At 34.9% G+C, this 16,193-nt stretch overlaps 1 annotated feature.

Moving 5' to 3' along the window:
* Nucleotides 9,373–9,573: a silencer, noted in NCBI's record as "peak7308 fragment used in MPRA reporter construct". NCBI's record gives its function as "represses an SCP1 promoter by STARR-seq MPRAs in K562 erythroleukemia cells {active_cell/tissue: K562}" and the evidence as "EXISTENCE:reporter gene assay evidence [ECO:0000049][PMID:32103011]".

Genomic DNA, 16,193 nt, shown 5'->3' on the forward strand with positions numbered 1-16,193 from the left:
AAATGGAGCATAAAAGAAACAACCCAAAATCCTTTAAGCAAACATAAATACTCGCTTTTAAAACTTCAAGAGAACAAAAGTACTTATTAGCCTCCTGATTTAAAAGTCTAATTTCCCTTTTATCATATCTGTGCACTTACACATAAACACACCATTCGTCACAGGGTCCTCAAAGTTACTTTGGGAAGTTAGGTAGGGAATTGGAGACAGAATTCCTTTAGTGCATTCTTTTTTTATTTTATTTTATTTTATTATTATTATACTTTAAGTTTTAGGGTACATGTGCACATTGTGCAGGTTAGTTACATATGTATACATGTGCCATGCTGGTGTGCTGCACCCATTAACTCGTCATTTAGCATTAGGTATATCTCCTAATGCTATCCCTCCCTCCTCCCCCCACCCCACAACAGTCCCCAGAGTGTGATGTTCCCCTTCCTGTGTCCATGTGATCTCATTGTTCAATTCCCACCTGTGAGTGAGAACATGCGGTGTTTGGTTTTTTGTCCTTGCAGTAGTTTACTGAGAATGCTGATTTCCAGTTTCATCCATGTCCCTACAAAGGACATGAACTCTTCATTTTTTATGGCTGCATAGTATTCCATTGTGTATATGTGCCACATTTTCTTAATCCAGTCTATCATTGTTGGACATTTGGCTTGGTTCCAAGTCTTTGCTATTGTGAATAGTGCCGCAATAAACATATGTGTGCATGTGTCTTTATAGCAGCATGGTTGATAGTCGTTTGGGTATATACCCAGTAATGGGATGGCTGGGTCAAATGGTATTTCTAGTTCTAGATCCCTGAGGAATCGCCACACTGACTTCTACAGTGGTTGAACTAGTTTACAGAACAGGCAACCTTTAGTGCATTCTAATGAGCTAACAGCTGTGACACATAGATTATTGACTGCCAGAGCTTGAAGGCACCCTAGAAATCATCTTCTTAATCCCTTTAATTGTAAAGATGAGAAAAAAGGATGAGATTGAAGAAAAGTTGTTGACTTACCCAAAGATACTCTTCTTTGTAGTGGCAGGACCAAGTTCAGATCCCAGATGGATTAAGCCATGTTAGGATTAATGTATTTGACACAAATCATGGAATGCTAATCTAAAAAATACTTTGCCTTCTAACTCAGCCAATTAGTGTTGGTCACCCACTCTGCATCAGGCAATGCACTGAGCACTGTGTATAGACGTCAATAATGCACTGCTTATGAAGATGTGAATAAGACAAGGTCTTACCCGCCGTGAAACTTGCCAGTTTCTGGGGATTTAGACAAGTACAAGATGCATTACTATAGACTGTGTTAAGTGCTACAACACAGACATGCACAAAATGCTGAGAAATCACTCTGGAGGGACTCACAAAGAGTTTATTGTAATGCATTTGTCATGTCTCTCCAAGTCGCTGAACATATCTTTCAAGAAAACTGTGGTGAGAAGGGATATGTGTTTCAAGAAAGCTGTGGTGAGAAGGGATATGTCACATAACCTACTCTGAACTTGACAGAAATGACCTGATTCTCCAAGGTATTTCTAGTTCCATTGTGGTATATAGACCTATGAGTTAGTGATTCCTTTTGGTTTTATTGTTTAAAAACCACTGAAATAATAGTTTTCTAAAAATAAGCCTTGCTGTGGATCCAGAGATGCACAACTATTTGGATGTTCGACAAAAGAAGAATTACAGAAAAAAGTACATTTTGTCTTTATAGGATGGCAAGAAGAGGATTCTCACATACATCTGGGAGTTGTTTTTCAGTTTACCTCCCCTATCGGTAATGTCTCATACCTTTAACTTCTCCGTGACATTTTTGCCAGAGCACAGCTCACGTAAGAGAACTGTGGCCCTACTCTGTTAGCCTCCTTTCCCTGTCTCCTCTTTCTTTCCACAAAAATGCAAACAAATAGAATCAGGCATACTTCTTCTCAGTTTTCTTTATTAATCACATTGCAAGACATTCATTCTTGCACTTTCACATTTCTTCCTTTTATTTTCCAGTTGTAGCTGTTTTTAGAGCCTCACGTCAGATGCCTTCAGCCCACCTCTCGTACCAGCGCCAACAGTTCCTAAGCACCCTGACAGCATACCATCTCAGTCTTCTGCTGCATCTCTTTTCACAGCCAAAGAAGATTGTACAGCTCCTATACAGGCAGCCATGAAGTGCAGGGAAGTCCATGCCTCCAGGCAAATCCTTAACCAGTGGGATAATTTAATACCTCAGCTTCTTGGTTTTTGTTGAGAAGATTCCAAGAGGCATTCCACATACCACCTCAGATTTATTGAGCACTCATTGCCCATAGGAATAAGCAGTTCAATAAGGGTCCTGCTATTGTCTTCTTTTTAACTACCTATAACTCTTGCTCACTCATTACTGGTGATCTGTGTCATCACCTCCCAAATTAACTAACTATGCCCAAATCCTTATTTCAGCTTTGTTGTTAGGGGCTCAAGATGCTTCAAAATTCTAAACTTTTTTTTTTCTAAATATCATCTATACTCTTGTTCAATATGTGATCATGATTGTGTTGATAATAGGATGATGTTTGTTCTGGGACAAAGCCATTGAAATGTGCTATATATAAAACCACTTAAAATAGTTTCATGTTCGTAATTTGTTAACCTGTACATTAAAAACAGTGGCACTAAATCATTCAGTGATGTAAATGGAACAAGCTAGTAGGGCAAGATGACCAAGAAAATTGTGTAAACTGAGCTAGAACACAGATTTCTGCACTAAATTTTGCTTCTCCAAGATGTAACTGAAGGCAAGTCCCTCCATTAGCTGCTTGCAGAGTCCAATGACAAGAGCAAGGTATGGTAGAAAGAAAGTGACTTTATTGACCAAAACTAGTAATGCCGAAATGGCCAGATTCCCATCCAAAGTAACCACTTTGAATTTCTGGGGAGATGGCAAGAGTGTGAAAAGGGGAACTTGATCTAAGTTGCATGCAGGAATTGCGCTGAGTACAAGGTCTGTGTCTCCTTTCGGTGGCTGTAGGTTCTCAGTCCACCTGGAACACAGGCTGGTGTCATCTCAACAATGGCTGGGTTGTAACTAGACACTTTGAGGTAATCTCTGGAATTTTGCAGCTGGATCTCAAGACTTGGTCTGTCTGTCTCAAGATTAGCCCCTGGAACTTCTAAGTAAGTGCATACTTAGCTACTAGCATAAAGTTAGATAAATGTAAAGGGAGTATGATGGGAAAGGGAGGGACATGGAGTCTATTTTAAGTTTAAGGGAACAAAGCTTCTGCAGTTGGCTTCAAAGTTTTTTCTTGTGACTAGGGAGCAAAAAGAAAAAAGAGGGTTTAGAAATGCATTTTGAAGTCAAGCTGCTTGGTTACAAAAGGACTATGTTAGAGAGAGCATGTGCCATGTTTGCAGCAGGTCTACTTGTATTACTGCTCAAACAGTTTTTTGCTTCCATGTATTTGTTAAGGAACTGTCAGTTTTAGGTGAAAGCTTTATTATTATTTTTCCCCTAATTGTAAAGGTAATACACATCCATTGTAGAAAATACAGGATAGCCAGAGAAAATCACAAAGAAGAAAGTTACAACTATATATAATTCCATATCCCAGAATTAACCACTATTGATATTTTACTAAATATCAAATTAAAACCTTTCAGTTTTAAGAATATATATAGAGAAAAATAGCAAATGTGGGGAGAAGGTGAGAGAAGGAAAAGGCTTTATTTCTAGTTTTCTGCCCTACTTTTTCTCATCTTCGGCATTTTATGTCATTAAGAAAGCATGTTTTACTAAGAACCTTTTAAAAGCTCACAATTTAATCTTAATATTAAATTGTCAATTTTTCTATTATTACAATAACATTGGGACAAATGTATTTTGTATATTAATATTAAAAGCTATGGTATGTCCCCTATATAGAGCCTCGGAGATGGGATAAATGGTTAAAAATCATGTATATATATCATGGCCTCAATGCTTATTATCAGATTGTTCAATATGTTTTATAATTTACATTTCCTCGCAGGACCACCTACATGGGCGTGTGATGTACAGTTGCACAGGAACCCATGCTTAGAGGGTCCCATGCTTAGTTTAATGTTTCTTGTTCTTGCCATTTTGAAATTCTTAATGATTTTGAAAAATTTTGCCCTGGACCCCATAAATGATTTACCTGGCCCTGGTTGAATGCGAAAACTAGAAGAATAAAATAACATCAAGTTAAGAGTATTTTGTAATGGGAGATATGGAAAGGTATGTGAAAGCAATGATTCAAATGGAAATCTCGTTTTTTCTAATATCTTTTCCTTTATTCTCTATTTCTCATTGGATATTGTGTATATAAATCTAGGCAATATTTTCTGGTTGCATATTCCATGGGGAAGGTGAAACTTTTAGCTAAGGAGGTTTATTTAACAGCTGAAGTGGGTATGACTCTGATCACATAAAATTCAGCCATTTCTTGCCTTGGCTGCTTTTGCCTTTATATGGGAATATGTCACTAGTTCAACTGGTTGAGTCTCACTGGTTGATCCTAGGCTAACAGTTAATTCAGTTTTATTAGATGGAAAATGATATTCATCTCCATATGTACCACTTTGTCTTGAAAAGTAATATTGAGAATGGCAAATTTAGAACACAAAAGGTGGAGGGGGATATAAGACAACAATATGGCCAAAACATCATTATAATAAGGACAAATTGAGAAATATTTATATAACTATATTCATCCATATCCATATTTATGTCTTTTTGTTGTTATTTTAATGTACTAATGATTTTACAGTAGTTTTCGTAAGCTTTGTTTATCTTTAAGTCTATTTGTCTGTTTTATCAGAAGCACTTGAAGCTATTTTCCTAATTTTACTTTAGCTAGTAAAGCCTGCTCTCATTATTGACAATGTTTTAGAATTTTAATAATTTATGTGAAGGGCAAATTAGTCACATTTTAAGCTAGTGCTTCAATTGAATTGATTATTGGTTCTCTTCAATCATTTCACAGTTTTTTCACCACTTCATGCCCTGCACAAAACAAGCTACATAGCAGTCCTTTTTTTGTTTGTCATTTTATAATTAGTATTTATCAGGATTTTACATTGCAAGTTCTAGAACCTAAATTATAATCCTAAACTGAAAGCAGGTAATGTAATCGCTAATAGAAAGATTTAAACTTGGCCCTTGTATCTTATACGTTCATATATTGTAAGGGTTATGGTGTGTTCATGCAAGAACAACCCTACCAAGGAAGGGATGCTGGCAGATAAAACATCATGCCTACTTTACTGGGCAATCCAAGGCCAGCGTGGTTTTTTTCCAGGAATCTGCACTGAGGTTATATTTGCTTTTTACTGTGGGTCCAAGTCTTAACAGCACAAACATATCAAATAGTGATGCTATCCTATCTTGGAATAACAACAATTGCTTCATGTAAAAACTGCTTAAATATAAAGTAAACATAAAAATAACTTTAAAATATGACTCAATATGTAAAGTTGGCCTTGGTATTTGCAAATGAATTTAAAATTCATAAAATCAAATGAACTTAGAAAGTGGACAATATTTACTGATTTGACAAAATTACTTCAGAGCACATAAAGTTTAAAGGTATCACTGTTTTCTGAGAAAACGTCAACCAATTTATTTAAGGATAATTGACACATAAAATCAAATTCATTTAAAAACTTCTAATCAAACAACAAAAACAGTTATGGCTAAAATATATTCAATATTATTTAGAAATTTGAAGCAAGTAGAAACCTCCTAAAATTCTAAAAATGGGAAAAATGTTTAAAATTATAGAAGCTATTGCACAACTGTCTCATGTTACTTTAAAATTGCACTTACATAAAAACCAGTGATGGGGAAAATTTGTTTTTAACCAACTCAACATTTTGACCAGTTTTGTTTCAACTACTCCATTTGCAGTCATTGAACAGAAGCACAAAGCTTAAAATTGGAGAATGGTAGTGATAATGTACATTAAAAATTTCCAGAGTAACAAAAACCTTCATCTACATTAGTTTTTCGCTATCACATTTTGATGATATAATACAATTCTCTACTTATTACAAACTTTCTTTTTATTCACCCTGTTTATGGTTATTGTAATTATAGTTCCCTTTGTCTCTATAATTCTTCATAGAAAGTTCATGTATGTATCATTCAGGTCACATTATTTGTGGTGATATATATATGGACTATAATCCAAATACAGTCTTCTCATGGGTAGAGAAGCTGAGCATGTTCCTATCATTCTATCTTGGTATAGTGTATTTCTCTCTCTACCCTCCAGCTTCATTATAGTCTTCAGAGAAAAAATTTAAAAGGCTGTGCCAAAATAAAGTTGACTCCTACATAATTTCAAAGACTGACATTGATTTTTCAAATTTCTTAAGCTCATATTATTTTAAAAATACCCAAACTGTAATCCAAAACTAAAAGCAGGTAATGTAGTGGCTAACGGAAAGATTTATGCTTGGCTCTGAAATTGATTTCAGGACCTCTGCAGATACCAAAATCTGAAGTTGTTGAAGTTGCTTATAAAAAAAATTGCGGCCGGGCGCGGTGGCTCACGCCTGTAATCCCAGCACTTTGGGAGGCCGAGGCGGGTGGATCATGAGGTCAGGAGATCGAGACCATCCTGGCTAACAAGGTGAAACCCCGTCTCTACTAAAAATACAAAAAATTAGCCGGGCGCGGTGGCGGGCGCCTGTAGTCCCAGCTACTCGGGAGGCTGAGGCAGGAGAATGGCGTGAACCCGGGAGGCGGAGCTTGCAGTGAGCCGAGATTGCGCCACTGCAGTCCGCAGTCCGGCCTGGGCGACAGAGCGAGACTCCGTCTCAAAAAAAAAAAAAAAAAAAAAAAATTGCATAGCATTTACATATAACTTACACACACCTCTTATATACTTTAAATCATCTTTAGATTACTTATAATGCAATGTATAATATTTAATACAATGTAAACAATAAGTAAATAGTTGTTACATTTATTGCTTAAAAATTTGTATTATTTTATATCTTTTTTTTTCTTTTCAAATATTTTTGATTGATGGCTAGCTGAATCTTTGGATGTGGAGCCAACAGATACGAAACTTAAAGATGTGAAGGGCCAACTGTATTTTCAGAATGTAGGTTTGTGCTTCTGGAAATATGGTATAGTGTACTTTTCTCTGTTCCTCTCCTGAAGTACTGTACTGTTAAGAACTCTAGACAATATATATGAAACCAATGTGAAAAGACTCTAACAGGTGGAGAGAAAGTGGCAGATGGTCTGGTGATATTGAGACCTAAAGCAAAAAGCAGTGGTGAGTTCCCTGAGCTTTATTTTGGTCTTATACATGGTAGACTTAGAGCTGAAAAAGTTGACAACCCAGAAATGCCAAAGGGTTCAGATGGAAGAAAAAAGCCCCAGGAACAGCCAGTTCTCTCTGACCATAGAACTTGTCGTAGCCTAGCAAGACAGAAAACTGTTAGATAATAACCAGTGTACTCCAGCTAAACAACAAACAAAAAATTGAAAAAAGAAATCAGAAAAAAACCAACCCATCTCTACTCAGAGAACCCATTACAACAAAGTAGGAGCTTAGATTTATACCCTTGTGCAGTATAATGAAGTGCCCCGATCACTGGGTGATGTCAGAGGAGACCAAATAGCGGGTTGAGACTTTCATCCCATTCGGTTGGTAATGAGCTCCCCAAGCCTTGTGATATCAGTGGAGACTGCAGGGTGAGCCTGGGCTTCCATCACTGCCTGGTAGTTACAAAGGCCCCCCTCTCACACCCTGTTAAGATGATGTCAGAGGAGGCCTGAAGGACAGTCATGGCTTTCACCATTGCCGGCTGTAATGAAGCCACCCTTGTCGTACTGTCATTGGAGATCACCTGAGGAGCTAGACCTCCCACCGCTGCCCTGCTATAATGAGAAGGAGTGTCAACAGAAGGTGAGTGAGCGGGGAATCTGAATTTCTACCTCCACCCAGCAGTAACAGGTCTGAGTCCATATGCCCCTTCCTCCTCTACCTGAGTTCCTCCACAAACCAAAAAACAAACAAACAAACAAAAAACTAGCTAAAACATAAAGTTTAAATAATATCCAGAGTCTTATAACATAAAATAAAAATGTTCAGGTTTCAATCAGAAGCCACTCGTCAAGATCTCAAAATGAATGGAAAAAAACAATCAGTAGAAGCCAATGATGGGATGACATCTGTAAGGATTTTAAAGCAGCCATGGTAAAAAGATTAAAATGCTTCGGTGAGCAATTATAAATGCACTTGAAAACAAATAAAAAAGAAAAAGCCTCAGCAAAGTATCAGACAAGAAATAAAAGACGTAATGAAGAACCAAATAAAATTTTAGAACTGAAAAATACAAACACTGAAATATAAAGCTCAGTGGGCTCAACAGAAGAATGAAGGGACAGAGGAAAGAGTCATTGAACTGGGAGTTAGAACAACAGGAGTTAATCTGAACAATAGAGAGGAAAAAGATTAAAAAGTTTAGAGGAAAGAATCATTGAACTGGGAATTAGAACAATAGAAGTTAATCTGAACAAAAGAGAGGAAAAATATTAAAAAGTTTACAGAGCATTAGATCTGTGGAACTACAACAAAAAACTAACATTTGTGTCATCAAAGTTGCAAAAGAAGGGGAAAAAGACTATAGGGCTGAAAAAGTATTCAAAGAAATAATGACTAAAATCTCCTCAAATTTGGCAATACACATAAACCTACAAAATCAGGAAGCAGGGCAAATGACAAACAGGATGAATCTAAGGAAATCCTTGCTAAGACACATAATAATTAAACTTCTGAAACCTAAAGACAAAGAAAAGATTTTTGATGTCTAAAGACTTATATCTCTATGAAGATTAAAGTTTGGGAGGTTAGTTTATAATCTTAAGCTAGGTGTGAAGGAAAGGTCATAGGATTCAAGAAGTCATAATAGGAGGAATGATTCATTGGATGATTAAAATATTGGTTGTACCAGAGATGGCCAGCAAACCACCAGCAACCACGGGAGAAGCATGGATCAGCTTCTTCCTCACTGCCCGGGAAGGAACCAATCCCACCAAAACCTTGATCTCAGACTTCTAGCTGCCAAAACTGAAACAGTAAATTTCTTCTTTTAAGTCACAAAAATAAAAATAAAATGGCTCTGCCCTTTTTATGAGTTTCAGACATGTGGATCATTTGCCTTCAGAGAACCACTGAAACCACAGGGCAGGGCAAAATGTAGCTGAACTTTTTGCATTAACAGATTGCCTATACCCTGATTAACCAGTCCTTTCAAAGGTGACTCAGCTGTACATATAAAGAATGGCATATGTAAAACATAAATGTTCTTTGGAGATAATAGACAATGATTTGATATACTCACATATCTCTTTTTCACAGAAAGACTGACATTTATGTTGTTAATCTCTACTGATTCACTTGGTAGCAATTGTTTCACTAGATTGTTAATGTCTGAAAGACAATATTGTCCAGTTTCTTAGAGTAGAAGGGAATGCATGGATCATAGCAATAATCAGTTAATGTTTGCAGAAAGCATATATGCAGGATAAGAACTGCAATATATGAATGACTGTCTGTGTAAATGGATAGGCATTTGTCCAAGAGACAAAACAAAGCCCTTATAAAAATAAAGCCTTTTTTTGTGCTTAAAAAACTTGAGAAATGGTAGCTATATTTTTGTTGTTTTGCTTTTCTAGACAATTTGGTTTTCTAGACAATTCCTGGCATTCTGTATAACCAATAAATATACATTCACTCAAATAGGTTAGAAAAACTATAGAAGCAGGTAAAAGTGAAAGAGGCATTTTATAATTTGGCAAGCAGTGAATATTAGCAGTTTTAAGTTTTAAAACAGAAAAGACACTAGTGCATAATTATATAGATATTAGCATAACTATGATATCTAAAGCATGTGACCTAACTTTAACTGCAATATTTGTCAATTTTATTTTTATTAATTATATGATTATAATGAAATTATAAATTTATAAATTATAAAAAATATGTTTTTATTAGTTTTTACTAGTTAATGACACAGATAAATTGATTTCAAAAGAGTTTTAAAATTCTTTAAAACTTTTAGTGTCAGAACCTAGAATTACCAATTTGAATTAATGGAATTTAAAAACTTGTTTTTAATGCATCAGTGTATGTTATTGTATGTGTGTGTGCATGCATACATTTTAACAGAATTATAGAATTATAATTCATGAACCATACAATTCACTCATTTAAAGTGCACAATTCAACAGTTTTTAGTATATTCCCAGAGTTGTGCAAGCATCACCATCATCTAATTCCAATATATTTTCATCACCCCAAAAATAAACTTCATGCCCATTAGTGATCTCTCTCCATTCTTCCCTTACCCCAGCTCTTGGCAACCACTAATCTACTTTCTGTCTCAATGGATTTGCCTATTCTGGATAGTACATATAAAAGGGATCATGCAATATGTGGTCTTTTGTGACTGAATTTTTTCAACATAACATAATATTTTAAAGTTTCATCCATGTTGTAGCTTATGTCAGAACTTTATTTTGAACTAAGCCTTGTGGAGCAATGTATTTTAGAATGACTAAGTAAATTGAAGGATAAAAATTTCAAGAAATTCTCACTCTCAGCTGGAATTACCATGCTATTATGATTTTGTAGATAAAATTGTGATCCATGCACACAGGTGCTTAATCTATTTGCTAAGTCAGTTTGTTTACTGCTTACATTGCTTAACTCATTTTGTTGAATATCTATCTGTATATTCTATCTACCTGTAGCAAATATCTATGTCTATTTCTATATTATCTATATCCAACTATGACTCCTAACACTGCACTTGGAAAACAATGTTACTTCATAAATGCTAAATAAATGAGTGAACGAATGTATACGAAAATGGAGTCAACTCTAAAGTTGCCCAGTTTCAGTTTCTACTAGATTTTACATTAGACAGAGACGTAAGCCAAAGAGTTTCTTGGAATATGTACTCAATGATAAACTATATTAAAGAGTTAAAAACATAATCAGCAACATTAGGGAAATAAAGTTTTAATTAAATAGTTTATAGACCAAAGGTGGCTAAAATCATGTATGGCCAATGAACATAATTGACAGAACTTGCCAATCGAAGAAGAGTCAAAACAGATGAGAATATATATAAAATTACCTAAACACACTAGCAACTATACTAATGTCTACTTTTAAGAATGACCTGCGAGAAAATCAATTTGTGTTGATGAATACTGTGGGAAGAACTAGAATTTTCACACCCAGGCTCCTGTACCTGGATGGCCATTACATTTTTCCATTTTCACACTCCAAGGGAATGTAGAAGGGAAAGCCAACTGTGTGAAATAACGGAAGCACTGGGAGGTCAGTGAAATACAATTCAGACAAAGCGAACAACCTTCCAAATAGTTCCAAGCATCTTCTTAAGCAGGTGTCTACTCCAACAATGATGCTTTCAATGGTGAATAAAGGCTGATGTATGTTTTTAAGAAATCAGAAGTCACTAAAAAATGAAAGTCTTGACAGACAGCCCTGCTAGTTTCAAATATTCTGTAATTTTACCCAGATGTATTTTTGGTTTTCTAAGCAGTGCTTGTACTGAAATGTCAGATGGGCTAGAGAATATTTCATGTTAGCTTTGTGGATGATTCGGCTGCCTTTTGTTATTTACTTGGAGAGCAAAAGCTGAGAGCTGTAGTTAAGCTTAAAGGCAACATTAATTTGCATGTAGAGTCAGTGATCTTTGTCAGAAGTGCTTTTCAAATCCAATTTACCAACCAAAAATATCAAGAAACAGTGAAGGAATATTACATTGCATAACTACCTCCTTCACAGAATGGTTATTAGTTGAGAACTATTAAAATGTAATTCTTTAAGATAACCTGGATTTTAATAAATCTACTTTCAGATTAGTTATTAATACTTCAGAATTATCCAAGTTTAGAGAATATAAATCCATAAGTTTAACATTATTTTTTAAAGTAGTAAATATGAATAGATTCAAAATATTAAAAGTCTTTATTATAATACAGTTATCCCTTGAACAAATCAGGTTTGAACTGTGCAGGCTCTCTCTCTCTTTTCTTTTTTTTTCTTTTTCTTTTCTTTTCTTTTTTTTTTTTTTGATACAGGATCTTGCTCTGTCACCCAGGCTGGAATGCAGTGGCATGATCTTGGCTCACCACAACATCCACCTCCCGGGTTCAAGTGGTTCTCCTGTCTCAGCCTCCCGAGTAGCTGGGATTACAGGGGCACACCATCACGACCAGGCCAAGCTCTCTTATATGCAGATTTTCTTCTGCCTCTGTTCAGAGCCTTGAGACAGAAGGACCAACCTCTTCTCTTCCTCATCTTCCTCAGCCTTCTCAATATAAATAAGAGGAGGAGGATGACTTTATGATGATTCACTTCAGCTTAATAAATAGTAAATGTATTTTCTCTTCCTTTTGATTTTCTGAATAACATTTTCTTTTTCCTAGCTTACTTCATAAAGGTAGAATAAAGAATAGAGTATAAAATATAATAAGAATAGAGTATAAAATACAATAATATACAAAATGTGTTAATTGACTATGCTATTGGTAAGGCTTCCAGTCAACAGTAGTTGACTTAGTAGTTAAGTACTAAAACTTAGTAGTTAAGTTTTTGGAGAGTCAAGCCACATGCAAATTTTCAACTGCGCAAAGGTCTGCGTCCCTGATTTGCAAATTGTCACCTATGTTTTAATTTGTAAATGGCTAATTTTAAACATAAGGATTCAATTTTAAAGTGAAAATTGTAACTGGATAAACTGCATCTATATACCTTCCTAAAAACTTAAGATATAATCACTATAAAAGACAAAGTATTAATAAATTTATATTTATTATATCATAATTATCTCATGATTTATGACTCACAATCTATATCTCAGGAATATCTGAATGTGAACACTAATATTTCATAATTCAGACCTCATAATTTCATAATATCAATATTTCATAATTTCATCAAGGAATTATATATTTTTCATTAATCCTAAATAAAATGTTAATTTTGTAGTTTCTGTATAATTCAATTTGTAAAATTATTGGTCACCTCCCGTGTGCCTAGGTACTTCTAAATGTGGTGCTCAAAATGACTAAGACATGGTACCTGTGCTTAATAAGTTCCTAGTCTAGCATGGAAGATAGACACAGTAATAAATCATCTACTTTATGATAACTGCAACATAAATTTATACAAGAAACAAGATATTTCCCAGAGAATAGAATAATTAGTAATGCAGGGGTGTTGCCCAGGGAAATTTTTCTGGAAGAAGCTATATCTGAACTGAGGCTTAAAACAGTCACAGCCAATTTGCCAGCTGGGTGAGGAGGGAAGGATAGAAGATATTCCAGGCAATGCCTCTTCCATGTCCACAGGCAAGAAATATGAAATATTACAATATGATCTGGGACCCAAGGAATTACAGCCACTGCTATCTGAACTGTATCATTGTAAATAAAAAAGAAAATCTTCATATACTGCAGTCATTAATTTGACACATTTCAAAACAGCCTGGGCTAGAATGCCAATAGAATTATAACTTATAAAAGTACATAGATTTTCTTTAATGGATTTTTTTGACATATGAATAAATATATTTTTTACTGTGGTTGCAAACAAGACTGTAGGAGTGTAGCTACATTATTTTAAACCTGTAGTTTAATAGGCAACAAACGCAGAAATAGACTAATGGGATTACGTCAAACTAAGAAGCTTTTGAACAACAAAGAAAACAGCAGTGAAGAGGCAACCTACAGAACAGGAGAAAATATTTGCAAACTATGTATTTGGTAAGGGGTTAATATCCAAAGTATATAAGAAACTCAATAGCAAGACAAATAACTTGATTAAAATATGGGCAAAGGACATGAATAGACATTTCTTAAAAGAAGACATACAGATGATACCCAAGTATAAAAAAATTTCAACATCACCAATCATCAGAGAAATGCAAATCAAAACCACAATAAGCTATCACCACCCATGGGTTATAATGGCTTTTATCAAAAAGACAAAAGATCACAAGTGTTGGTGAGGATGTGGAGAAAAGGGAAGTATTCTCGCCACAGAAATGATAAATATGTGTGGTAATGCATATGTTAATTAGCTAGATTTAGTCATTCTGCAATGTATCTATACAGCAAAACACCATGTTGGACACAGTAAATACATAGAATTTTATCTGTCATTGTAAAAAATAAAATAAACCTGTAGCTTTGAATGCAAGATACATTATGCCTTTTAAATCCTCATTTTATCCCTTAACAGCTTCATGACCATGGGTAAGTCATTAACCTCTAGGCATCTGTGAACTAAATATGACAGTCACAGTTTTGACCTGTCCATATTCCTTCTAAAGGAAACTATCTGCTTACAGCCCCTGTGACATTTAGGTGGACTATAAAAAAAATTCTACTATATGACATTTAAATTTCATTCATCTGTCACCTCCCCTTCTCTTCAGGAAAGATTCCAATTATTCATGTGAAATATGGATAGTAAGGACTGTACATACCTGCATAATTTACCTCATACATAAATAAAAAAAGAATTGCACAGTATTTTCTCTTTTCCCAAATAGAACTAAGACATTCCTTTTGATTTTCATATCAAAAGTTTATGTAATTGTTCTTAGAGGAATCTTGTAATTGAAGACTATGGACTTTGGAGGCTTAAGAGATGAAAATTAAACTATAGCCTCATTATTCTCTACCCTTGTGATGTGGACAAGTTGCTTCACTTCTGAGCCTTGCTTTTTGATTCTGTAAAATGAACAATAGTACCGACTGTTAATTTTGCTCCCATATATTGAGTATTTGCTATATGCACGTCACTTTGCTAAGAATTTCATTATCATGTTCTATTTCAATAATCAAAACAGCATTTTGACATATTTTCAATGCCATTTGCAAAGGAGGAAACAGACTCAGAGAAGCTAAATAATTTGACTGTCACTTGGCAAGTGAGTGAATATGAAACCCAGTGAAGCTGATTCTAAATCTTGATTCCTAACCACTATACTCTACTGCCTCCATATTTTTCAAGATTATGGTGAAGATTGAAAGAAATAATGTATATAATGAATTATGATCTTCCTGGCAAAGCATCAGTACCTGACAAATGTTATAATAGTTCCCTTTTCCTACTTCATTCTTTACTGCTATTTTATTTAAGGGACCTAAAGAGTGGAAATGTATTCATAAGCAATGTATTTCACTATTAAATCGTATAACAGCAAAAGATTTTAATGGACCATGGAACTCATTTATATGAGATTTAAAAAAGATGATTTCCCTTTTGGTCTTCAAAAATTGAATTTAAAGAAAGTCTTTAAAGATTTCAAAAATTAATTTTCTTTCTGCCAAATTTTTAATGAGCTGCTAGACTGATTTTCTGGAACATATCAGTGACTTTACTATTCTCTCAGAGGACTTGACTGCTGCTTGGAGACACCCACAGACACTGGTAAGGCTAAGTTTTGTGGCTGCTGCCAGATTCTCTGGGGGAAAAAAAAGAGCATTGCTACGTGAGATGCATTTAGTATAAAATAGTTATGATAGAAGAAGAAAAGAATGTGTTTCTTCACTGACAGTTCGACTTTTCAGATTTTAAGCTTCTGTAAGTAACTAAAAAGAGATGAAATATTAAAGCCCAGCAACCTATGTGAATTAGCCATCTTTATATTCCTTTTAGATAAAAATAGCACTATGTCCATGTAGTAAAACATGCTTAACCCTCATTGCGGTGTGAGGGATTTGCTGTATTTCTCATTTGACTCAGATGTGCAGTCACATATTAAATAATGGAGCCACCATATTCTTTTGTTACTTGTGAGAATGCAGTATAATATGAGTTATAACAGAGAATGACTTCTCTTTGTTCTACCAGGATTCATCAACTCCATGGTTTAGCTGTAACTAAGATCAAAGTTTGGACCTAAAAATATACTTAAATATGCCACCAAAGCAGATTTTCTTAAATAACATATTAGAAATCTCAGTAGCACAGGGAGGCTTATAAGGTGACTTTGGACAATGGTTTTATGTAGTTCTGCCCATGCCTGGTAGTGAAATATGGGTGGATAAATTGGCTAAGCCAAATTTATACCCTTTATATACCTCTTTCTGGCAAAGTCTTAGCCAATGAGAGCAAATGTTATATAGCAA

Source organism: Homo sapiens, chromosome 9, assembly GCF_000001405.40.
Source record: "Homo sapiens chromosome 9, GRCh38.p14 Primary Assembly".
Taxonomy (NCBI): Eukaryota; Metazoa; Chordata; class Mammalia; order Primates; family Hominidae; genus Homo; species Homo sapiens.